At 45.5% G+C, this 25,281-nt stretch overlaps 1 long non-coding RNA gene across 1 annotated transcript in view, besides 1 other annotated feature; it reads left to right on the top strand.

Annotated features, from left to right (window-relative positions):
* Positions 1-25,281, top strand: part of LINC01104 (long intergenic non-protein coding RNA 1104) — a 43,231-nt gene that overhangs the window by 15,036 nt on the left and 2,914 nt on the right. The window contains exon 2 of the long non-coding RNA NR_103730.1: positions 23,823-23,949. This is a non-coding gene — a long non-coding RNA (long intergenic non-protein coding RNA 1104). The remainder of the gene's footprint in view (positions 1-23,822; positions 23,950-25,281) is intronic.
* Positions 24,641-24,750: an enhancer, noted in NCBI's record as "active region_16290". NCBI's record gives its function as "activates an Ori minimal core promoter by ATAC-STARR-seq in GM12878 lymphoblastoid cells {active_cell/tissue: GM12878}" and the evidence as "EXISTENCE:reporter gene assay evidence [ECO:0000049][PMID:35858748]".

A 25,281-nucleotide genomic window follows, 5' to 3' on the forward strand; every position in this document is an offset into this window, starting at 1 on the left:
AGGTACTCTGCCTGTTCCTGCTTACCATGGAGGAATTGATCATATGCCTACTGTAGCCCACACTTCCACTTGGGCATTGGTCCTGTCCCCTCTTGCCTATTCAAGGGCTTCACACCAGCAGTTGTCCCCTCTTTTTCTCAAATCATAATTTCTCCCCTCTCTACAGGAGCAAGCAGACATAATGAAATATCTCCCAGTTTACAAAAAAGGAAGAGAAACCCTCTTGTTATTCATTCCCTGTGAACTACAGCCCCATTTGTCAGCTCTTCTTTATGGTAAAACTCCTCGAAATGGTGGTCTGTAGTCTCCATCTCCACTTTCTCTTTGAATCTCTTTTCAGTTCACTCCAACCTGACCTTCATTTGCATCTACGTCAACTTCTGTCAAGGTCCCCATGCTTAGCCACATGCTCGGTTTCCAGCCCTCCTCCAACGCACCATCTCTTCCTTGAAACAGTTTCGTTCACCTAGCTTCCTGGGCACCACATCTCTTGGCTCTCCTCCTACCTCAGTGCTGCTTCCTAGCCTGCTTCCTCTTCATCAGTCCTACATGGAGGTTGATGGAGTGCCCTGGGCATGGTTCTCAGCTCTCAGCTCTTCCTCCCCTCCGAACCCGTTCCCTAGGACGTACTATGACTTTCAGTTGCTCGTGACCACTGGGTTTGGATTTGCAACACAGGCCTCTTACAGGAGTGGCAGGCTCCCACCAACTGCCCACTTCACAGCTGCCCTTGGCTCAAGGATCGTCTCAAAATTCCTAGATCCAAAAATAGAGTTCTGGAGCCAACGTGCCATTTTCTACTTCTACATGGTAGTACTTTAAGCCAAAAAAATTTTGAGTTGTCCTTGGCTTCTCTTTTTCTCTCACATGTGACAATCAACCCATCGGCCAATTCTTCAAACTATGTCTAGAATCCAACCATTTTTCACCACCTCCAGCATAACCTCACCAGGAATACTGCAGTGGCCTCACTGGGCTCTGCTTCCCCTGTGCCCCTCTATCATCTTTCCCTACACAGCAGCCAGAGGAGGCTTTTACAAAAAGCCATGTCATTGGTATCAACCACTTCCATGCCTTAAGCCTCAAGATGGCTTTCCATCTGCTTACAGTCAAATCGGATCCTTTCCATGTCTCTGACCTCATCCTAAATTGCTGCATAGCAGCCCATGGGCCTCCTGTCCTTTCTCTAATATCTGCCTCAGGGCCTTTGCACTGTCTATATCCTCAGACTATAGTACTTTCTCCCCAGATATCTGCTGGCTTGCTCCCCTATCTCTTTCTAGTCTCCTATAAATCAGACCCTCTCTAAATACTCTCCATAAAACAGCTTGGACTCCACCTCCCCACCACCCTTGATTCCCCTTAGCCTGTTTATTTTTCTTCACAGCACTGCTAGGAGCTTCACAGCTCCTGCTGACATATCATGTGCTTCTCTGTTTAGGGTCTGTTTCTTCTGCCTACAGGGGAGTGTGAACTCCTTGAGGGCAGTCCCTCTGTCTAATCGGTTCACTGCTATAGGAACAGTGACTGACACACAAAAGCCACCCTTTTAACATCCACTGCATGAATACAAGAGTCTATTGATAATAGTGGAATTCATAAACAACCCATATCCAACAGCAGAAAAAGGATGAAGTAAATTACATTTTGGCTCCTCAGTGGAATTTTAGAGTCAATAAAATAGATGAAATCATTCATAGGTATTAGTTAAAGGACACAAACAATTTTCAAAAACGACTTTAAATTGTTAACAGATGCACAGGGCAAAAGTTTCACCCACCTAACAAACAAGAAAAAGCAAATTAAAAGAACTATGGGATATCACATTCCTGTTACTAAATTAGCACATGTTTCTCTTTAAGCATACACCACTAGATTCTGGAAAGGCTTTCCTGGGGTAAACTCTCTCCTAAGGGATGTAAATTTACACAACACCTTTGGAAAAAAAATCTAGACAAAAATACACCATATTACATCAAGATGTTCATTCTTTCTCATCTGGTATTTCTCCTGGGACTATCACATAAGAACATAATAAACACCATGAATATAAAAAAAAAAAAACAAAATAAGAAAGCCTACATACCTAATGGTTAAGAAGATAATGATGCCTCTACTCCATTAAGCATTATAAAGGCACTCAAATTATGTGTATTAAGAGTTTTATTGACTCGGAGAAATGTTTATACTATAATCTGATACTAAGTTAAAAAAAAAATCAGCCCTGGGAGGATGCCAGGTTATCCACATAGGAAGCAAAAGACATCACAGATTTCCTTTAGGAGCCTGGAGAATTTGGACTCCTGCTCACAATTACTGACTCGATGTTTTCTGTTGTGTTTCCAATGGTCTAATTAAGTTTCTCTTCAGATAATGCTTTGGCCAAGCTCTTTTTTGTTACAAATACACAATATAAAGATTTCACTCTGCATTCCCCGTTACCATCCTTCTGCATCAGTACCACACACAATTAAGTTGATCATGTTAGAGGTTCTATGCTTAATTTTTACACGCTGAAGAATTATTAGGATTTTAATAAGTCACAGCACTTAACATCTATTAACGAGTATTGAAACTCATAAACTATTCAATTTTCTACCACAGTGTAGCCATTTTTCCCATTAAAAAGCAAGAACAACAGAAATCAAGTCAAAGAACAACAGAAAAGTGCTATTGACAGGAAAAGCCTCACCTAGACCACATCTCGCTTTTTAGAATTGATGCAGATAGCTGTGTGAAATGTTGGAATCAGTAGTGTTTGGCAGGGGAGAAGTGACAAAGAGGACTTCTTCTAAGTGTCCTCATTCTCCAGAATCCAGGAAGGGTTGAGGCTAACAATTGAGTTGCCAGTTAACCCCATGGGACCCCAAAATCACAAATACTAAACCTGAGGCTCTGTTCTCTGTTGCATACATGTGCACCTGCACACACACACCCCAGCTTCAGTTCACCCAAAGAAGTAAATTACCTACTGATTGTTTTTAAAGCAATTTAAAAATTTTGAAATAGTTATAGATTCAAGTTCAGAATAACACAGAGACACCTTTATCCAGTTTTCTCCTATGGTAATGTTTTGCAATACTAAAGCACAATACCATAACCAGGATATTCACATTGATAAAAATCCACTGATTTTAGATTGCTCCAGTTTTACTGGTACTTGTGTGTGTGTGTGCGTGTGTGCGTGTGTGCATGCACGTGAGTGCATGTGTGTATTCTACTCAATTTTATCACATGTGTAAGGCTGTGTGTGTGTATGCACATACCACAGTTAAAATACAGAACAGTTCCCTCAACACTGGGATCCCCCTGTTGATGTTTTATAGCCACACACTTCCTTCCCCAGACTCCTGTCTGTCCCTAGTCCCTGGCAACCACTCATCTGTTTTCCACTTCTATAATTTTTACTTCTATTAAATTACATAAATTGAATTATGTAACATGTACCTTTGTGGAACATCTTGTCATATGCTTATTCGCCATCTGAATATTTCCTTTGGTTAGGTGTCTGTTTGGGCCTTTTGCCCATTTTTAAATTGAGTTGTGTGTTTTTTCGCTGTTGAGTTTTAGGAGTTCTTTGCATGTTTTTGATAACAGTCCTTTATCAGATGTGTCTCTTGCAACTGTTTTTTCCATTCTGTGGCTTGTCTTCTCATTCTCTTGATTCTATTGAGTTTTAAGATACTACCACCTTCATTGGATATGTGGCTTGGAAATATTTCCTCCCTGTCTGTAGCTTGCCTTTATATCTTCTTCATAGAATTTTTCATAGAGGAGTTTTTAATTTTGATGAGGTCCAAATTATCAATTGAATTGTGGTTTTGTGTCAAGCCTAAGAATTGTTTGCCTGGCCCTAAGTCCCAAAGAATTTCTCTTTAATGTAAAAGGTAACCAAAGGAGTGCTCTGAAAGGTGAAAAGAGGAAGGTGAACTGATTGGAAACTAAGGAGTGGAGGAACACCTTGGCAGCATGGCTATGCTGTGTGTACAACCTTCCACCCACTTGAAGAAAGAGACTCACATCTGTGATTCCCAACACCGAAGTTGCAATAGGAAGTGGCCCAGGAAGGCTCATTCCTCTGCTGGATGAAACAAGAGTTCCCTGGACAATGCCAAGAGAGACGGGTCGCGAGATCCACTGGCAAAAATCTATAAGGGAAGTACTCTCTTTCCCTGCAGGCTTGAGACCTTTCTCCTCCACTGAGAGACACCAGAAGCTGGGCAGTACTGGCAAGGAGGGTTTTGCCATGGGAAGCTCCGTCTTCTCTGTCTTCTAGTCTCCATGGATGTGAGATTCCTCTCTCCCACCCAGACACATGGGTGGCAGGGGGGCCCCAGCAAGAGGGATCCTGCCCAGGAAGCGCTCTTTATTTCCAAGGCATAGAAGGGTCCCTTTCCACCTTTAGAGGCACCAGCCTAGGGAAATTCTTCATGTCCCCTCAGGTAGCACCAGGAGGGTCCAGTGGGAGCCTCAGCAGCTCCAGAAAAACCAGGAAGGCCACAGTAGTACCACAAAGGCTGTGAAAATGAAATTAGCATTGCACTCACAGCTCACAAAACTAGCATGCACACAGAACCTAAAAAGATAATCTCCAAACCTAATAGCCAGGCTGTTCAGGATATAATGTAAAAAGTTACCCATTGTACCAAGAATCAGGAAAATCACAACTTGAAAGAAAAAAGACCATCAGTGGATGCCAATACTGACACGAATCAGATGTTGAAAGTATTTAACAAGTATTTAAAAGTAGTCACTGTAAAACTGCTTTAACAATGAATTACAAATTCTGTTGACACAAATGGAAAAATTAAAATCTCAGAAAATAAGTAGAAGCTATAAAAAAGAAACAATCAGAAATTATAGAAGTGAAAAATCCAATAACTGAAAAATATTAAAGGTATTACATGGGCTCAATAGTACAGTGGAGCTGAGTGAGGCTAGAACTGATAAACTTGAGGAAGGACTCGTAGGCTTCACCCAATCTGAGCAACAGAGAGAAAATAAACTGAAAAACAAAAGAACAGAGCTTCAGGGACCTGTGTGAAAATAACAACAAAAAAAATCCAACATTTGTAACATCAGGGTCCCAGAGGATTCTGTGGCTGAAAGAGAATTCAAAGAAAGAACGGCTGAAAACTTCTCAAATTTGGCAAAAAGACATAAACCTACAAATTCAAGAAGTTGAGTGAATCCCAAACAGGATACATCCAAAATAATCCATGCCAAGACACATCAAATTAAAGTTCTGAAAACATAAAGACCAAAAAGAATTCTTGAAAGCAGCCAGAGGATAATGACACATTACCTATGGGGAAACACCAGTTTGCGTGACAGTGAATTTCTCTTCCTCTGAAACCCTGGAGACCAGAAGAAAGTGACACATTTTTCAAGCTCTGAAAGGAAAAAAAAAAATACCTGCCAGCCACAAATTCTACATTTGGCAAAACTATCCTTCAGGAATAAATAGTAAATAAATCTATTGTCAGATGACAGGACACCAAAAGATTGTGCGGTTAACAGACCTAATTTCAGAGAATGGCTAGAGCAAGTTTTCAAACAGAAGGGTAATGATGAAAGAAAGAATCTTGAGCATCAGGAAGCAAATACAATGGAAAGAGAAAATATATGGGTACATACGATAGGCTATCCTATTCCTTATGAGTGTCATCAATCATATTTGATTGAGGGAATCAAAATTACAAGACCAGTTCTCACTTGAGTCAATGAGGGGAAGGTAAAGGGGCCTGAATGGCAGTAAGGTTTTCACATGCCACTTGCAGTGGTAAAATGTTGATAGTAGTAGACAGCAATAAGTCACATATGTTCACTGTAATACCCAGAGCAACCACTGAACAGGCTATTCAAAGAGATACACTCAAACACATTATAAACACATCAAGATGGAATTCTAAAACTTGTGCAAGTAATCTATAGGAAGGTAAAAAAAAGAAACAGAAATGAGAATCATAGGAAAGTTACAAGAAACAGAAAATAAAATCGCAGGCTTAAGCTCTAACATATCAATAATTACCTTACATGTAAGTAGTCTAAACATACTAATTAAAAGGCAGAGATTAGTTTAGTAGATTAAAAACTGTGTGTCAACTATATGTTGCTTTTAATAAATTATTTCAAATTCAATGACAGGTACATCGAAAGCAAAAGTATAGAAAAAGATAGATGCAAGCAATAATACAAAAACAGAGGTAGCTGTATTGATATATGATTAAGTGGATCTCAAAGAAAATTACTTGGGACAAACAGGGATATTACATAATAATAAAAGAATCAATCCACTAGGAAAAATAACAATCCTAAATGTGTGCACACCGAGTAACGGAGCCTCAAAATCCATGAAGCAAAACTAATAAAACTGAAAGGAAAAATAAACAATTCCACAGTTGTAGTTGGATATTTCATCAGCTTCCTCTCAGCAACTGATAGAATTTCTAGAAAGAAAATTAGCTAGAAGACAGAAGATCTAAACAATGCAATTAGCCAATAGGATCTAATTGATACATATAGAACATTCCACCCCATAACAACAGAATATCAATTTTTTTCAAGGGCGTTCTGAAAACATACACTATCCTGGACCATAAAACAAACCTCAAAAAGTTTAAAGAGATTTGGCCAGGTGCAGTGGCTCACACCTGTAATCCCAGCACTTTGGGTGGCCGAGGTGGGCGGATCAAAAGGTCAAGAGATCGAGACCATCCTGGCCAACATGGTGAAATCCTGTCTCTGCTAAAAATACAAAAAATTAGCTGGGCGTGGTGGCGGGCACCTGTAGTCCCGGCTACTCAGGAGGCTGAGGCAGGAGGATCGCTTGAACATGGGAAGTGGAGGTTGCAGTGAGCCAAGATCATGCCACTGCACTCCAGCCTGGCGACAGAGCTAGACTCCATCTCAAAAAAAAAAAAAAAAAAGAAAGAAAGAAAAAAGTAAAGGGATTCAAATCATACAGATTATGTTCTCTGACCATAATAAAATCAAACCAGAACTCAGTAAGGTAAGGAAGTCAGGAAAATCTCTAAACACTTGTAAATTAAACAACACACTTCTAAATAATCCATTGGTCAAGAAGTAAGTTCCAAAGGAAATTTTAAAATATACACAGAACTGTGTAAAAATGCCACCACATTTTAAAAGCAGCCCTTGAAAATAAAAGTTTTTATAATGTGGACCTATAAAATAATTTAAATATGTTTTATTGTGTGATTTAAATATTGGATTGTCAATACACAGCTTGTCATCTTTTAAATCAAAATTGTAGAATGCTGCTTTGACTTCCACAGTTTTAAGAGGTTATAGAATACTACATATTCCTTTATAAAAATGGCATAATTTATTGAGAAGAGCCTATCTCTTATTTCACATATCCCAGGGACTGTGGTGGCAGGCAGGGAGCATGTGGTTGGGGTATAGGCCATGTTGCTCCTTTTCCTCTGCTCAGCTTTTAAAAGTCAGGGCCTTCCTCTTCTCCATTCACACTCTCTCCCCAAGGTCTCCTCCAGTTCCACAGCTTTAAATGCTGCCATGTGTCAACAAGTCTCCATTAGATGACTTTGGCTCTGGACTCCAGAGGCACTCATCCAACTGCAAGCTTGATGTGTCCTCCTGGATGGGCATCTCGCCCACCCACAGCAGGGCTCTCCATTTCTCCTCAAACCTGTATCTCCCTCATTCAGCCAGTCATTCAAGCTAGAATCCTGGCAGCCATCCTAGATTCCTCCTGTTTCCTTACATCCGTTTCATATCCATAACACACATCAGCAAGCTCTGTGGCCCCCACTGCTGTCCATTCCTCTCCTCTCCACCTCCCTCCATCCCTTCCAGCCAAACTGCCTGATACTGTTTGGCTCTGAGTCCCCACCCAAATCTCATCTTGAATTTTACTCCCATAATTTCCACGTGTTGTGGGAGGGACCCGATGGGAGATAATTGAATCATGGGGGTGGTTTTCCCCAAACTGTTCTCGTGGTAGTGAGTAAGTCTCACGAGATCTGATGGTTGGATAAGGGGAAACCCGTTTTGCCTGGTTCTCAATCTCTTTTTGCCTGTCCCCATCTATGTAGGATGTGGCTTGCTCCTACTTGCCTTCTGCCATAATTGTGAGGCCTCCCCAGCCAAGTGGAACTGTGAGTCCAGTTAAACCTCTTTCTTTTGTAAATTGCCCAGTCTCAGGTATGTCTTTATCAGCAGCGTGAAAACGGACTAACACACCGCCATCTTTCTGGTCTCCAGGAACGCAGCAGCCTCCCACCTGCCCTCCTTGCTGCTGCTCTCCTCTCCCTGCAATCCACCCTCCACACAGAAGGAAACCTTTTAAAACATGTAAAGCAGATGACGCTACTCCCTGCTTACAAATTTCCAGTAGCTTCCCATCACACTTAACACTTGTTTATTCATTTATTGTGTTTCCTTCACCAAGAATGTGTATTCCATCAGAGCTGATTCCTTTCTGTCTGGTTCACTCCAGTCCTCTCAGGACCTGGCCCTTAATGAGGGATTCCATAAGTATTTGTTGAATAAACAAATAAATAAACAGGGTTTGAGGAGGGCAGCAACAGCCAGGATCATGAAATAAACTATTTTGGGAACCTGTATCAATGTACAATGACATGACTGTTATTCACGTATATAATCTGATCACAACAATGTAAAAATAATGTGTGTATAGAAAGTGCCTGGAAATTAATAAAAATGTCAGCAACGTTTTCTTTAGATGGTGGGCTTATGAGTGATTTTCCTTTGTCTTTCCTCTAAAATTGTATTCTCTAGGATTAGCATGAATATGTGGCCAAGTGTGGTGGCTCACATCTGTAATCCCAGCACTTTGGGAGGCTGAGAAAGGATTGAGGCCAGGAGCTTGAGACCAGCTTGGGCATCATCCCTGTCTCTACAAAGAAAAAAAAAAGTGGCATAAATAATTTTATGATGGAGAGAACTTAATGAGCTTTCTTTCCCCCTAAGTTACTTATTGGGGTTTTCCCCAGGCTGAATTATTCCAACATCTTTTAACTATTTCATTTCCTTACTCCTTAATCATCTTCTGGGCCCTTTGCAAGAGAATCTCTCTCACTCATCACAACCCTCAACAAGTTTTCATTCATACTTTAGTCCACAATATTCTGCAGGTTTGAATATTCAAGGAAAAGAATTTTTCTTTTCATAGACGGTGTCATGGAGCAAATGTGCTCAAAAGTAATAATAAAGAACTGATTTTAGGAATATCTCCTAAAGAGAGCTGGGAAGATTCTGATGGGATATAAAAACACTGGTAATTAATTTTTAAATTAATACCTAAGAAACCCTAACGAGCCTCGCATGTTTCCTCTTTTTATAAGTGGGGTTGAATGAGTTATGTTATTCACACTCTTCAAGTGTGAATCTTAAAGTAGGCTTAATTGTGTTTAGGCCGAGTACTATGAAAGCAACATGGTACTCAAAAACTAATCTAGGGAAATTAAAGAAACATATGTAGTGCTACAAATGTGAGCATTTTTCTTAAAAAAATAAATCAGATATCGTTGCCAGGTACATGAGTATACATAGCCTTGCCCTCCATCAGGCAGTGACCCCAGTGAAGGTGGTGACATATTAATTTCAGAAATGTGTGTCTGAGAGGAGAAACACAGAACATGTTTTATGAGCAGTTCCACTCAGGGGCAGAGGTCCAAGCTGGCTTTGGGGGTGGTCTTGTGGCCACCTGGACAAGTCAGGTTTCTTGCCAGTTCTGGAACTGGCTCATTTCCAGCTATCATTAGATGAGGTTAAAATAGAAAGGGTGGGAGGAAGGGCAGGTCAAGTTGTCTGGGGAATCCAAACAGAGCAGACCCCCATGAACACCAGAGCCAATCAGATCCAGGGTAGAGTCAGAACCTATCCACCCAGCAACTTCCTTCTCATGGCCATCGGCACCTGCCATACATGAGGTCTATTGGAGACCAGCCAGCATATGCCCCATGCTGAGACAAGAAATAGCTCAACAGGCCAGAGTGGAAAATGATTAAAGTCTGAGGTGGTGCAGGCCAGCAGGGGCGAGGTTCATTTCTCACTGTTGGTCCTGCAAGTTTTACCTTATGTGAGGCATCACCCTTGGAGTGATTGTAGAGGTGGCTGCCTGATTGGTTGGAGAAGACACCTGTCTGTGAAACAGAATTGTTCTTCAGCGCTCTCATCCAGCTAATATCATCCCTGTTGTGTCAAGGCAGCCAGAAAATGTCTTGGTTATGAGTTTTGAATATGGTAACAGACACGTAGCTGGGCTAATGGAGGCGCGTGATGGTACCGCTTGTCTGAAAGTCACTTACTCTCCGCTCTGAACTTTAGGGTGTGAATTTGCCACTTATTGCCTTCTGGCTATGTTTTGCTAACTAAAACATCGACTAAAAATGTGTGGATACTTCCCATGTATATATGCATTAAGGGGTGAGAAAAGTCAAGAAGCAGTGACTGGCCAGGAAGAGGAAACAAGGGCTAATCAAGATGTGCTCATTAAACTGCAATGACATATTGTTCCACTTATCAAATTGACCAACGTAAAAATGGGCTGATGAAGTTCAGCATTGGTGAGGGTATAGGAAGTAACTGGCACCCAGGTACATTGTTGGTGCAAGTGTAAATCAGTACACCTTCTTGGCTTGCAACCTAGCAATATCTACTGAAATGTTTAAAGTTCTAATCTTTTAACTCTGTATTTCTACTTCTAACATTTAAGCCTCTAAAGCCTCAAGAATGTTCCTTGGGGCTTTGTTTAAAGACTTTAAAGTATTAAAAACGTAAAAGTAACCCAAATGAACTCTGAAGAAGAAGATTAAATAAATGCTGGTACAGCCGAAAGATGAAATACCACACACGTCTTAAGAATGGGTTAGACCTTCCTGTCCCTACTGATATGTAAAGTGAAAAACGCAAGCTCCGAACTGCATTGGTGGTATGAGTCCACATCCAAAGTAATCAACAGCAACAGTAAGAGGGTTAGTATCAGTGTGAAAAAAGAAGACGGAGAATTATGCACCAATTTTTGGCAGCATGTCCCTAGAAATGAGATTACTTACATTCTTGTAAGGTTTGGAATTTTACATAACTTTGCACCATGTCATCAGAAGAAAAAGGCAGGGCACATCTTAGTGTAGGCTGAAACACATTTCCATTCAGTGGCTATCTGGAGGGGTTATTCATGAAATTTGTAAACATGTGGGCATTCAAAGTGATATTTCATAGAGGCTCTAAGAGACAAATTTCCCACATGAATAAACAAAGGAAGGTATGGGGAAGTCTATGTGGCAAAGTTTATTTAGATCCTCGAATCAAGAGTTGCAATTGGTTACGTGTCTTTGAACAACTAATTTGTAAGCTTCCCAGAGTCCTGGTTTTCTCATCTGCAACGTGTGGTTGGGCAAGGCAACCTTCTTAAGGACTTCTCCAGTTGAAATGGGCTCAGCCTGCAAGTAAGTGGAATTTAGGTAAATGATAATCCTAGCAATGGAAGGTGCTGCTCATGTCTGCTAGGACGAGTGCCTGAGAGCTAGCGGACTTCAAAGTCAGCTAAACAGACTTTCCCAGCTTAATGTAGCTAGGTGGCCTTTTCCCCTTCAGCACTTTCTCTCCTTCATCCCAGGTGGTCTGCTTCCCCATCTCTAGTTGACTGAAGAAATTAAAGAGAAAAAGAGAGAGAGAGCAAGACTGAGATGGAGAGCGTAAAGAAAATCAAATGTATTAGGAAGAAGAAAAGATGAATGGTGTGCGAACTGGGTCAGATAGGAGGGAGGGCAGTTAAAGATGAGTTACTGGAGGTGCAAGTCACACTAACAAAACTTTGAAAAACAAACGAAGGCCTGGTGAGGCGATGACTAACACAGCTATAGATCCGGGCATTGCAGGCCGTCCCAGAGGGCCGGCTTTACAACGTGGCCATTGATCCAGCCCAGGTGTGCACAGCCTCGGCCACTCTCATTTCCCCTTCCTGCCCACAGCCTCCCCGCTGCTCAGGAAGCTGTGCAGCCCTGGCTGTGCATGTAGAACTCAACCGCAGGTCAGGGAGCCTGGGGAGCTGGGGGCTCCAGGCCCTGTTCTCACTGTAAGAGCAGCTTTTGTGTCAAAGGCAAGTTCACAGCCGCTGAGTCTTCCGAGGCATTGCAGAGCTTACGCCTTTACCGCCAGCCGGTGCTAGGCCCAGGGAGAATGATGAAGTCGTCGAGGATATTAGAACCACCATAACGTATTTCCTGGGCATTTTGTGGCCTTACCTGCAGGTAGGTATGACGATAAGCACATCAAGCAGACGGGGAGGTCAGGTGACTTGTCCAAGTCACCCAGCCAGAAGTAACAGAGCCAAGACTCAAACCCAGATCCGCTCAGTTTCTCCTGCTCTGATATTGCTGCCTTTGATTTTTGCCTTTGGATCTTTCCAGACCTATCTCCCACCCCTTGCTCCATCCCACTGAGTGTGCCCCATGGCTTTCTTGTATGCTGCGGGCCTTCCAGCCAGAAAGCTGGACCTGGCAGTGAAGGTGTGGACACACCTTAACACATGGAGGTTAAAAGCCACGACAGTCGGGAGCTCACTGAAATGGCTTATTGCTGCCTCTCCTGGGCATAACTGCAATCTGGGTGAGATCCCAGGAGACCAAGCCAACTTTAAGATGCAAAGGGACAAGTCTCTAAGGGTTTTCAGATATTGGTGGGTGAAGGATAGGGAAAGAGCCCAGAGGGGCAGGGAGGAGAGGAGCGAGGGGAGAACGAGAGGCCTTCCACAGTCTCTCAATGTATCAGAGTCAGCTGTTGCCACAGCTGTTATGAGTTGAAGTGTGGCCCCCAAAATTCACAGATTGAAGTCCTAACTCCTGTACCTCAGAATGTGACCACATTTGGAAATAGGCCTGTTGAGATCACATTGGATTAGGATGGGCCCCTAATCCGTATGACTTTATACAAAGGGGAAATTTGGACACAGACCCACATACAGAGGGAATGCCGTGTGAACATGAAGACGGCTACCTACAAGCCAAAGAGAAGGGCCTGGAGCAGATTCTCCATCACAGCCCTCAGAAGGACACCTGCTGACGCCTTGGTCTCGGGCTTCCAGCCTGCAGAGCTGCAAGAGAACACCTCTCTGTAGTTTATGTTGCTCAGATTGTGGTACTTTGTAAAGGCAGCCTTAGCAAACGAATGCAATAGCTCATTTTCAAAGCCCTTCTCAGAGAAACCTATGCCATGGACAACAGTTCTCAGGTGTGAGAGAACTGTTAGGGCAAGATTCTAGATGGCTTCAGAATGATTTCTAATTATTACACATTATAATACGGCAAAGGCAGAGTTAGTGATTTCAGCTCAAAATCACCATGGCTTTTCTGTGACATTTCCCTCACTTCTCAGGAAACCTTCCAAGAACCATCCATGGAGAGTGGTGTTGTGCATTCTGTAGGAAGTACTTGTCTTTACTGACAGATTTCAAATAAGCACACAAACAAACACCTTGGGGAGAGGATACCCAAAGCACAAGGTCCCGAACTATTAGATGATAATTAGAATGAATGCATATTGATTACACTTAACCATGTTTTAGTCTTCTATATAATTGCCAATTGGAAAATCTATGCATCTGACAAAATGATCTAATTTTTCCACTTAGCATTCTTACATTTTTGTATCATACTGGGAAAGAATGTATCTGTAGAATATGGGCTTCAAAACAAATGGAATCAAACAAAGATGTTCTTTGTTTAAGGAACATATTCTAAATTAGGGCCATGAGAACATGCACAGTTTTGTGGCAATTTTGCAAAACATGGTTTACTTTGATGACTTGATAAAACCCTGCACTCTATCTACAGACATTTCTGATTTTTCTGTAATCAGATATGCATTTTGCTGGGTGGAAGTATAAACACAAATTCCTTTCTGTATGTTTTCTCATGTCACCCAGCAGCCAGCAGGCGGTGAGAAGGACATGAGCTCACCAAAGGTGAGGCTTGTGTTTAATTTGCTTCGTGCAGCACTAACATGGTACAGTGTGTCACACACACAGATGCTGAATATTTCATTCATTCATTCAACAAATGCACACTGCCCTCCCGTTGGCTGCGTTCAGCACTCAACGGTGAGGAATCCCACCGGGTAGACAAGCAACTCCTAGGAGGAAAGGAATGCAGCGCTATCTTCCCTCTCTAGGTAGACGTAGTCTAGATATGCGAACTTTCACAGCTTCACTTAAGATTATGGGAGGCAAAACTCAACAGGTCCGTTTTCTATTTGTTCTCTGGGGACCTGGAAGGTCTGAGTTGATGACAACTGTAAACGGTCAGGTCTTGTTGGGCCTCTCCTAAAAACCTTAGCCATGGAACAGAGAGGAAAGCTGTCGTACAGACTGTCTTTTCTAGTTTACTGCTTTTGACTAAAATAATAACATTCACTCTGACATAATGACTGCACCAATTAGACTTAATTAGACTTAGGCAAAAAAACACCCCCACACACAGACACAAAACAAAAAACAAAACAAAAAAAAAACTCTGATGGAATAAATGTAGCGGTGGGAAGGGAGACTTCCCCAGGAGTCCCTGCAGTCATTATCTACCGTCTCCCAGGGGCCGGGTGACAGGCGCAGTGCAGGGCAGACGTCCACTGGGGGCATGAGTGTCACAGAGCCACGGGCCTCCCCTCCCACAACCTCCTCCCTAGATGTGTCACCTCCTTTCTTACGATGCACTCCAGCACTATCTGCTGGGGAAGGGGGTGGGTGTCCAACAGGGAGAGCTGACCAGCAGAGCTCCAGGCAGCAGGAAAGGCTGAAGCCATGTAGCATCTCACTTTGAGTGGAAGCCCCTGAGGGCAGGGCCTCTTCCACCCAGCTGTGCCGTAGCACATATACACTCAATGAAAGAAGGGCTGGATTCAATTCCAAGGATATTAAAACCCTTCTTATAACAGTCCTGGTCCTTTCTCAGGGTATCTGTATAGAAAAGGAGTTCCTCCAATACAACCCTGAGAGTGTGTATGGGAAACCTAGAGTGAGGTGTAGGGCTGTTGTCACAATTTCTTGGGGGCACTGAGTTACACATCAATAGACAAGGGCAACTTTAAAGACAAACTAAAATGGAGGTTGCATAGAAAGTAATTTTGAATAATTGTTTAAAAAATACAAATGTCACTGCAGTATGGCCAACAGACACAAGTCTTTATTCTATTTTGTTTTTTAATTGAAACTGTCAGCAAAGTTAAAAAATCCTTTTTCTCCCTGGCCACTGCCTAAAGGCTGAATGAGGCCCGCCCTGCATCCACTGCAGATGCTCACAGAGCGGCAGCCCCTCCCTGGGGATGTGATTAGCATCCCAGGGTCCTTAAAGAAAGGGAGATGTGAGGAGCTGATTAGGATTCAGATCAGCAGCCAGGCCCAGGCTGTCTGGAGCTGACATCGCCAGGTAAATAAAAGGGCATTCACTGCAGCCTGAGCATGTTCTTAGGTCCCGCGGTGGAGAAGTGCAGAGCTGCACCCACGGGAGGCACAGCCCTCCTGCGGCAAATGTCTGCAGCCCCCAGACACACGGGGATGCTTTGTGCACAAGATATTTCATTATTTCACATCACTTGGCACCCCCTCCTAACTCTAACATCCTTAGCGCTCAAGCATTGGCCAGTGTAGACCTAGCATTGGGTGGGGACTGATGACAGCCAGGGCCTGCTTCTCTGTTCCCCCATCATTTCCTGGGTGACACCCCTCTGTATGGGAACACTGTCCACTGGTCAGTAATGACCTGTATCAAACAACAGCAAAGCCATTGGCTCTGTGGCTTTAAATGAATTAACTAAATGACCTCTCAATAATGGCTAACAGTTATTGACTTCTTTTTCTGTGCCAGGGCTGTGCTTAATATTCATTATTTCACAGCAACCCTACGAGGTTGTTCCCCTCCTTGTTATACAGGTAGGAAAACTGAGACAGAGGATGTTAGTGCCAAAGGTCACACAAGGCAGCACACAAGGTAGCCGGGGCTCAAATCTGTTTTTTCTTATCTCCAGAGCCTAAGCCTTGACTCCTTCACACTGTCGCAGCTGACAAAGCCCCTTGTTTTCCTCCCCTCCAAGGGTCAGCACAGTCCATCAAGTTGTGCAAAGCGATTCCTCAATCTCATACAAATTCTCTTTTCCTTGGGTATCAACCCAACTTCATCTAAAAGCCCATCTTCCAGTTAGCTTGCAGGGACTGAGGGGCTGTGGTACAGGGGAGTTCAGGGCCTCTCCTGGGAATGTCTATCTGCGGTAAAGACTAAACCCTGCCGCATAAATCTTGTCCAGGAAAAGAAAAGAACCTGGGTTGTGCAGGGGTTGAGTTACTCCAGCTGCCGGGACCCCCTGCTCACAGACTCCCGGAGATCAGAGGGGAGCCAGGCCAATTTGATTCTTGGCCCAGGGAGGCCTGTTTGAAGTGAATCTTCTCAGGTTTCCAAGGAGGGCAGGTTGGCTGGGGAGCTGGGAGCGCTGAGCCCCGGGGATAAATTCCGCACTGTGTGGCTCCTTAGAGAAGCTTCAGGCTGCAGGCTGGATAGCCAGCCAGGCTCCTTTCTCCCACAGGTAAGAGAGAGGTCCTCTGTCTCCCCATGTGTTATTAATACTCTGCTCAGGCCACTGCCTGCCTGTCCAGGTGGGAAGAGGGGCAAGCACGGTTCTTTTCCTACAGAGTGAGAGTCAGAAGAGGCAAGGGATGCCCACCCCCCTCCACCCAGGTTATCTGAGGAAGACGTTGACAGAGCTGAGAGCCCACAATGCGATGTCTGGGTCCTCATCCTGGCGTCAGGTAGGGGCGGGGGACTCAGCCCCAGCTCAGCCTGGAGGCTGCCATCACTACTCTCTCTTTCCTGCAATGTAATCAGATTTAATAAAACATGAATATTGTATAATAAATACTGCCTTTTCATAAATCTGCCTGTGACATCAAGTGGCATGCTAGAAAATATTATGAAATATGTCTCGAAGTCTATTACAGCCTCCTCTGAGCATTTTATATAAATCTTTACCTGCAAGAACAGTTCAGGGATAGAATCCGGACTCCACAGAAGACCAGAGCCTTTTCTCCGTGGCAGTGACATATTATTAGCATAACATTTTAAAAAATGCAAACTAGCCACTGGAGTTCCCAAGGCCTGCACCACCTTCCTAAGAAACAACATGTTTTCCATTCACACAAACAATCGCTGCCCTGGTCCTCGGCCCTGCACCGTGCTAGCCCCATCATCGGCAGCAACCCAGCTCCTGGGGTCAGCGGTGTCCCCTCCTACCAACTCCTGATGGCTGGCTTCCTCCTCACTCCGCCCATCCTTCTGAGAGGAGCCAGTCTGTGCCATGCACCTCCCATCCTCCACCATGGCCCTCTTGTCTTTAGTGACCAGTGAGTGATGTGCAGAGCTAGTTCATCGCACAGGCATCCCGCAGGCATCCTCCCTCACACGCGCCCATCTTTATTCTCTAATCTCTTCCTCCTTCTCATTCTCTTGTGACTCAAAGGAGTTTCTCCAGGAAAATCTCTTTCCATTTTCCATCCCTCTCTTCCTTCTGTTTGGGAGCTAAATACTAACCAAAATCAGGGGCGAACAATGTGGATGTGGCGTTGGTGATCATAGTGTATTGAGGAAAAGCACACACCACACCCGTGTTTTGCTGGGGAGGTCAATGCAATGATGCTCCCGGGCCTTCCATTTCTAAAGTTCTGGAACAGACCCAGAAGCACCTTTCAGTCTCAGTGCTGTCTCTAACGACCTCATTCCTTTTCTCCAAGGAAGCCTGCTTTCCTCAAGCGCCAGCATCCATGATGAACATTAAACATACTATTCTACTCCAGATGATTCCTTTTCTGTTGACTTTCAACGCAAGAGCCTTGATGTTTTTCCCAGGACAGTTTACTCAGAAGGGGGCTCAAGGTGTTTGTGGACTTGACTACAAGCTACACTAGTCATTGTTTATTCATAACACTCTTTCTATGGAGAATTGTGGTCTAAACACTGACCCGTTCCCCACGGTGGTCCGTGCTTGTGTGGATAACATCTCTTGTAACTCAACCCAGCTTCTGCAGCCTCACCACTGGGGCAGGAACCAGGTCCCATCTGGTGGCAACCAGCTTCACCCCGGAGTGAAGAACTGACAGTACCCTGCCTCAGGACCTCCCTGTGATGCCCAGGTGTGGGGCGCCTGAAACTGCTTCACATCCCTGTCACCTGGGAGTGCAGCAGAGTTCATACCCCGGAAGGAGCCCCTTGACCTGGGAGGCATGAGAGGGGAGTCATTGTGCTCCCTGGTTTCTCAATTGGCAGGTTCAGAAGATTCTTGAGAGCATCTATGACTGATTGTGTTGCCCAATTCCATAATGCCTATCCTCCCTGCCCTCTTTCCTGCCCCTCACTCCTACTGTTGGGGATTGCATCCCTGAATAAACCTCAATCCCATCAGCCCTTGTCTTGGGATGTACTTTAGGGGAAATCAGGCTGAGACAGGGTGTTTCTATGCATTTTCTGCTATAAGCTCATAACCATGGAGAACCAGGCAGGAACATGGCTTCTCAGAGCAGTGCTCCATAAGTGTGGCAGTTGCTTCATTTGGGTCCTCTGGGTGCCCGAACTAGAACTATATTCATGACGAACCCCAGAAGAGTTTTAATTAACGTGAGTGTCCCTAAAGACAATGAAAGGAATAGTTAGTATCTTTGCTCTAGAATGAAGACAAAAGACAGTTTGTCATCCAGTTGACTTCAACATAACATAAAGTCAGCTGTAGGTAACACAGAATGCTTCTGATATTAATGTTCAATTCCTCACACCAACAAACATGAGAACATCATTCACTGCATATGGAAAAGGTGCTATGTCTGTCCTGAGCTGGTCCAGACCACCTGCATTTCTCATTGCCTGGGTCTGCCTTTTCTCCTCTCTAGATTTTACTTACCCTGCAAAGCTTGTGTTGGGATGTCATTTCTAGGATCGGGTTTAGGCTGAGCCCCAGGGGTTTTACTGGTGGGACTGTGGAGAAGGCTTGATACCCTGCAGTACTCTCTGGAAAGTACCTTCCTCCGTTCGGAATCCCTGAGCTGGTGCCCCTTGCAGCCTGCACAGCTCTGGCCTCTCGCCGTGGATCTCATGGCCTCTGCTGCCAAAACTAGAGAGGAGGTTCATCCTCTGTCTCTTTGTGGAGAAGAGTCATTTGCTGACTGGGTGCTAGCTGAAAAGGGACTCCCCACAGAGCAAGAACAGCTGTCCTCTTGCTTCATGCACTCAAATTCCCTCCGTTGGGCCGCCCTGGGGATGCGCTGTCGGCCACCTCCTGCCTGATGTGGTGTGGGCTGCCCATGAGATGAGGCAGCTGTCCAAGGTGGGTGATGTGTGCTCAGACCTCCAGGAACCGGCGAATGAGGCCTCATGGAAAGAACGTGAGGTGGCGGTGGAGGGGAACAAGAGTGGGGAAATCCCTCCAGGCGGCCTCCTGCACCCCCAGGCTCTGGAGACAGCCTTCACTGGACGCTGGAATATCAGATGGGGTGAAGACAGAAAATGCTGTGCTGGCCTGGCCCTCCCACAAACACTCCAGTTTCACGGGCTGAAGAGGGTAAGTTGTGAATTCTGTTTCTTCAGGAATAGAGAAACCCAGATGCCAAGACCTGGAGGAGGCAGGAGGCTATGCTACTGTCTCCCCCACTTCTGGAAAGCACTGTGTGAGGTTTCCTCACCCCCAAAGGACAGGCCTGGCTTGGGCTCTCTGGAAGACACTGGCTGAAGGCCGGAGGGGGTGGCCTGGCTGTTTCAAAGCAGGAGAAGCAGGATGTGGCCTCAGAGTGCCACCTGGAGGCAGAGGCGGTGTAAACATGCAGAGAGATGCAGGCACAGGTGCCCCAGGGACAGAACATTCCTATCTGGACAGGGTCTGTCCTGCCCTCTGTCCCCACCTTCATTCATCTGCTCTGAGGAGGCCTGGGAGACCCCAACCTCACACCTTCAGCCTTGGACAGGCTCCAGCGGGGCCAGGGCCCTTCACCCGCGAGGGCCCAGGGACCACCTAGATGCAAGGAGAGCCCAGCAGGCCCTGTGCTCTGCCAACTCTTTCTGAACTTTTGTTTTCAGTTCTTTTCCTCACAGTCTTACCAAATGTTTCCCAGCCCCACACATTCTTAGACCTCAAGGAGGAAATGCTTATTTTTGTGAACTAAATCAGCACAGAGTAAGTAGGAAATCTCTATTTCTTAACTCAAATCTTATGACCTCCCTTGGTTCTTCTTTTGAGGAATCTACATTGTATCCAGCTACATGCATGTGTTGTTAGTTCCCCAGCATAATCATGGCCGGCTCAGAAAACATGATCATGAATCCCTGGTTCTAAAGTGTTCTCAGGTGCTTTCTAAATACGATAGGTCTTGTCCCCAGGAGAAATTTAATGCACCCATCTCCAAACTAACTTAAATACAGTTTCAAAACGTTGATGAATCACTCCTCTCCCCGGTTCATCTGTGGATGGATTAAAAGTCTATCTCTGGGCCGGGCACGGTGGCTCATGCCTGTAATCCCACCACACTGGGAGGCCGAGGCAGCCAAATCATTTGAGGTCAGGAGTTAGAGACCTGCCTGGCCAATATCTGACTGTAACTGTGTAAGAAGCCCTGAGTGGGAACCACCTATATAAGCCCAGGCAACCAACAGAATTATGAGAAATAATAATAAATTATTGCTTTAAACCACTGAGTTTTAGAATGATTTGTTACACCACTACAGATAACTGGATAAATGTAGTTCCCACTCAGGGTTTCTCACACAGTTACAGTCAGAGAGTGGCTGGGGCTGGAACCATCAAAGTCTTCCTTATTGACTTGCCTGGGCTCTGCTAGGGTGGCAGGAACAGCAGGGAACTGGTTGGGTATCCCTCTCTCCACGCTGCCTTTCCATGAGGCTAGCTTCAACTGAATTGCTATTGGGTTTTCAGTTAACTGAGGGAAGGAACAAGGAAGGATTTGCAGGGGGATCAAAACTAATTTAGGCTGTATCCCAGGGTGGCTCCCTCATCACAGCCTTGCTGGTCATTTCTCTGGTCATATCCTTCCTTGACCTCTCTAAAAGAAACACCTTCACATTTTAGGAATGGCGAAACCCTGTCTCTACTAAAAATACAAAAAAAAAAAAAAATTAACCGGGCATGGTGGCATGCACCAGTAGTCCCAGTGACTTGGGAGGCTGAGACAGGGGAATTGCTTGAACCTGGGAGGTGGAGGTTGCAATGAGCCAAGATCACATCACTGCACTCCACCTTGGGTGACACAGCGAGACTCCGTCTCAAAAAAAAAAAAAAATCTCTCTGTCTGTCCTATGCCCGAGGGTGAGGTACTGCAGCTGGTCCTGAGGAGCTGGTTCAGTTGTCTATAGCGGTAGAACAAATTATTCTAAAACTCAGTGGTTTAAAGCATAACTTACTATTATTTCTCACAATTCTGTTGGTTGACTGGGCTTATATAGGTGGTTCCCACTCAGGGTTTCTCCCGCAGTTATAGTCAGAGGGTGGCTGGGGTTGGAACTATCAAAGCCTTCCTTACTCATTTGCCTGGGCTCTACTGGGGTGGCAGGAACAGCAGGGGACCAGTTGGGTATTCCTCTCTCCATGCTGCCTTTCCACGAGGCTAACTTGGGCTTCCTCACAGCATGGTGGTCTCGGATAGCTGTACTCCTTACGCAGCCTCTGGTTTCCCCGGGCATGTTTTCTGAAAGGTCTGGGCAGAAGCTCAAGGCTTCTCATGACTCAGCCTCAGAAAACCCAGAAAGTCACTTTTACCTCATTCTACAGGCAAAGGCTAGGGCCAGCCCAGAATCCAGGGGATGAGGACTAGGAATTTGACTCTTTCAGAGAATGGAGGAGCAAAGAATGTGTGACCTTTAATGTGTGTCTTTAATCTTGTGACCATGTTTAAGCCACACACCTTGTTTCTCTGGCCAAGCACTGTTACGTACTTTGAGTTTCATATTAAATGCCATTTTCCTAGGAGGCTCTTTCCTAAGCCACTAGACTAGGATAATTTCTCCATTTTGTATGTGCTTCTATAGAGCTCTAATACACCCACCCACACACACAGAGGTTTTTCATACTTTCACACTTGCTTAATATCCATCTTCCCCATAGACAAATCCCACAGGGCAAAGGCCATGTTTTTTAGTCTTTTACTCACTGCTGGTCCCAGGCGTTTATACAATGCCTGGCTTGGTGTTCAGCTTCTGAATTGAACTTAACTGCTATTGGGTTTTCAGTTAACTGAGAGAAGGGACAAGGCAGGATTTGCAGGGGGGTCAAAACTAATTTAGGCTGTATCCCAGTGTGGCTCCCTCATCTCAGCCTTGATGCTCATTTCTCTGGTCGTATCCTTCACTGAGCTCTCTAAATAAAAGGCCTTCATGTTTTAGGAGTCTGCTGGTCATATGGGCTGACCCCCGTAGACTGGGAGGACTCCAGCTATGGGGTGGGACAGATCCTAGGGGTAGTCCCCTCTGCCAGGGCTAGAAGGAACTCCAGTCCCCCAGGCAGAACATGGCAGTAGAGGTGCTGGCACAGTCAAGAGGTGGCCAGTCATCCAGCCCCGCTGTCAGACCAAGAGGCTCCACAGAGGCTGAGGGTGTCCCAACAGCGGGGCAGAGCATGGAGACAGGATATTCCCAGCAGACCCTCTTCAGAAATTGAGTCTCAAGGGGTCTTGGGGAACTTGGTCAGCAGATGTCATGGCTTCATCTGTCAGCTGGTGGGTCAGCTCAGCGGGACTCCTGTCTTTAGAAGGGAGGCTCAAGTCTTTACTCTGTACCAAGACAGAGATGGGGGCCAGGAAACAAGACATGCAACCATTTTCCATCATCAAGGGGCGAGATGGTGCTTGGCATGAGGCAGAACTGGGCTCTGTCAATGCCACGCATCAGGAGGAACCCCTTTTCTGTTTCAATCCCTCCTGTTCATGTGTGGTGCCCGTTAGAGCTGGCGTATACTTCTGTTCTCCAGTGTCTGAGGACATGGAGGACCCATTTCCTCATTTTCCCCCTTGTGGTTGGATGGGATCATGCACCCAGTTCTCGTTGAGACCAAGATGCTGAGGTTACCGTTTTCTTTGTGGGACCAAAAAAAGAGCTCTAATTCGGCTTGAAACGTGTGTGTTTGTGCGTGCGTGTGAGAGAGGGCAGGTGCGTAATGGAGAGTGTGTCGGTGTTCCATGTGTGAGAGTGTGTAGGTGAGTGTGTGTGTGTGAAGAGATGTGTGTGATAGTGGTGTGTGAACTTGGGAGTGTGTGTCTGTGGTGCATAACTGTGTGTGTGTGTATGTGCAAATGTGAGTGTGTATGTGTGTTAATGTGTGTATGTGTGTGTGACTAAGGCGTGTGAGTGTGGTGTGTGAGCTTGGGCGTGCGGGTGTTGAAATGTGTGTGAGTGTGTACACGTGTGTGAGCACAACAGTGTGTGAGTTTGGGGTGGGCACAGGCCACAGCTAGTCTCTCTTGGGGCGTTAGATCTCTGCAACCCAAGCACCCCAAGTCGCTCTCCTTCCTCACTCCATCCTGAGCTTCCCAGCTGCTGCCTCTGCTCCGAACTCCCACGGGGAAAGCAGCGTCTCTAGGACCAGGGGCTCCGAGCATGGCACAGCGCCAACTCTCGTCTCTTGCCGCCTCCTGAGAACCTGGGTGCAGCACAAAACAGTCAAATATTTTCCTCTTCTGTCATCACTAACTAGAGCTCCACAAGTTCCCAGATTGCCGTGTTAGCTCTTCACCATAATTAGCAGTTTTCTGATATCATGCTAACACTCCTTAATTCTTCCCTCAGAGACAAAGCAAATCCGTGGGATGCCGAGGGCACTTGGATAACTTCCGCTCGGGAGAGAAGCCCAAACTCCGCGTCCCGGAGACCTGAAGTGTGGCCGCCAGTGGACACCCAGCTGAGGGATGAGCAGGTGGGCCTCAGTGGTGGCTGTGGGGTCCCTGGACACTGCTCGCCACTGGCCTCCAGAAGCATTGTAGGCTTTGGGGACCTGCTGGTCCTCCGGCCCTAAATGTGGCCCTGGAATGATGAAGGAAAGTTTGCCATCTCCATCCTCCTCAAGCTGCCTGAGCACCCCAGTAGCACCCACCCTGTCTGTGCTCCCGTCTGCACCCCATGTCCTGGGGCCTGCTTTGTGTTGCACCGGATGACAGGAACCAGTGCCCTGACTGTGACTTGCTTCTCCCTTCAGGGACACACAAGCACTTTCACAGCAAGGCTACTTTTCAGCCCTTCTGCAGACAGGGCTTCCTGCAGGGATGCTGGATGCAGAGGCAGGACGAGGATGCAGGGCCTGGGTCCAGGTGCGACTCCTCTCACACCTGGTACAGGTGGCCCCTCTCCCGGCAGGGCACCTCGGCTCCCTGGGGAGAATGAGAAAGGGGAACTGAGAGTTCATTGTTCCGTGGGGCATGCCACAAACCCCCAAAGACCCATCGGGTGAAAAGAAGAAAAACAACCGCAAAGCTATTTTCACCTGAGGCGGTCTCATGGGTGAAGCAGACGCCTGGATTACTCAATCCAGGCAGGGTCTCCTGCCTGGATTACTCAAATAATGACCCGGTGTGTCCTCCTTCCACCAGTGAGAAAGTCCCTTCTCAGTGGAAAATTATGGGTTGAGGTCTTTTACCTGGGGCCTCCTCTTTTTGTTTAAGATGGTAGTTTAAAAAAAACAGTTTTTTTTTTAGAGAAGTGTTTGTTTCCAGCAAACTTGAGAGGAAAGTACAGAGGTTTCCCACGTCCCCCCTGCCCAAGCACATGCACAGCCTCCCCAACTACTCACATCCCCCATCGGTTATCCATTTGTGACAACTGATGAACCCCCATGGGCACATGATCATCACCCAAAGCCCAGTGTTAGCATTAGGGTTCATTCTTGGTGTTGTACATTCTATGGGTGTGGAGAGCAGGTAATGACATGCGTCCACCATTTTAACAGAATAGTTTGCCCGCCCTAAAATTTCCCATGCTCCTCCTGTTCATCTGTCCTTTCCTCCAATCCCAGGCAACCACTGATCTTTTTACTGTCATCATGGTTTTGTCCTTCCCATAATGCCACATAATTGGAAGCATTTACATTTCCTCCATTTCACTTCATAGCTTGGTACCTCAGTTGTTTTTAGTGCTGAATAATATTCCATTGTCTGGAGATATCCTTATTTATTTATTTATTTTGATGCAGTCCCAGTCTGTCGCCCAGGCTGGAGTGCAGTGGCGGGATCTCAGCTCACTGCAACCACCACCT

This window comes from Homo sapiens, chromosome 2, assembly GCF_000001405.40.
Source record: "Homo sapiens chromosome 2, GRCh38.p14 Primary Assembly".
Lineage (NCBI taxonomy): Eukaryota > Metazoa > Chordata > Mammalia > Primates > Hominidae > Homo > Homo sapiens.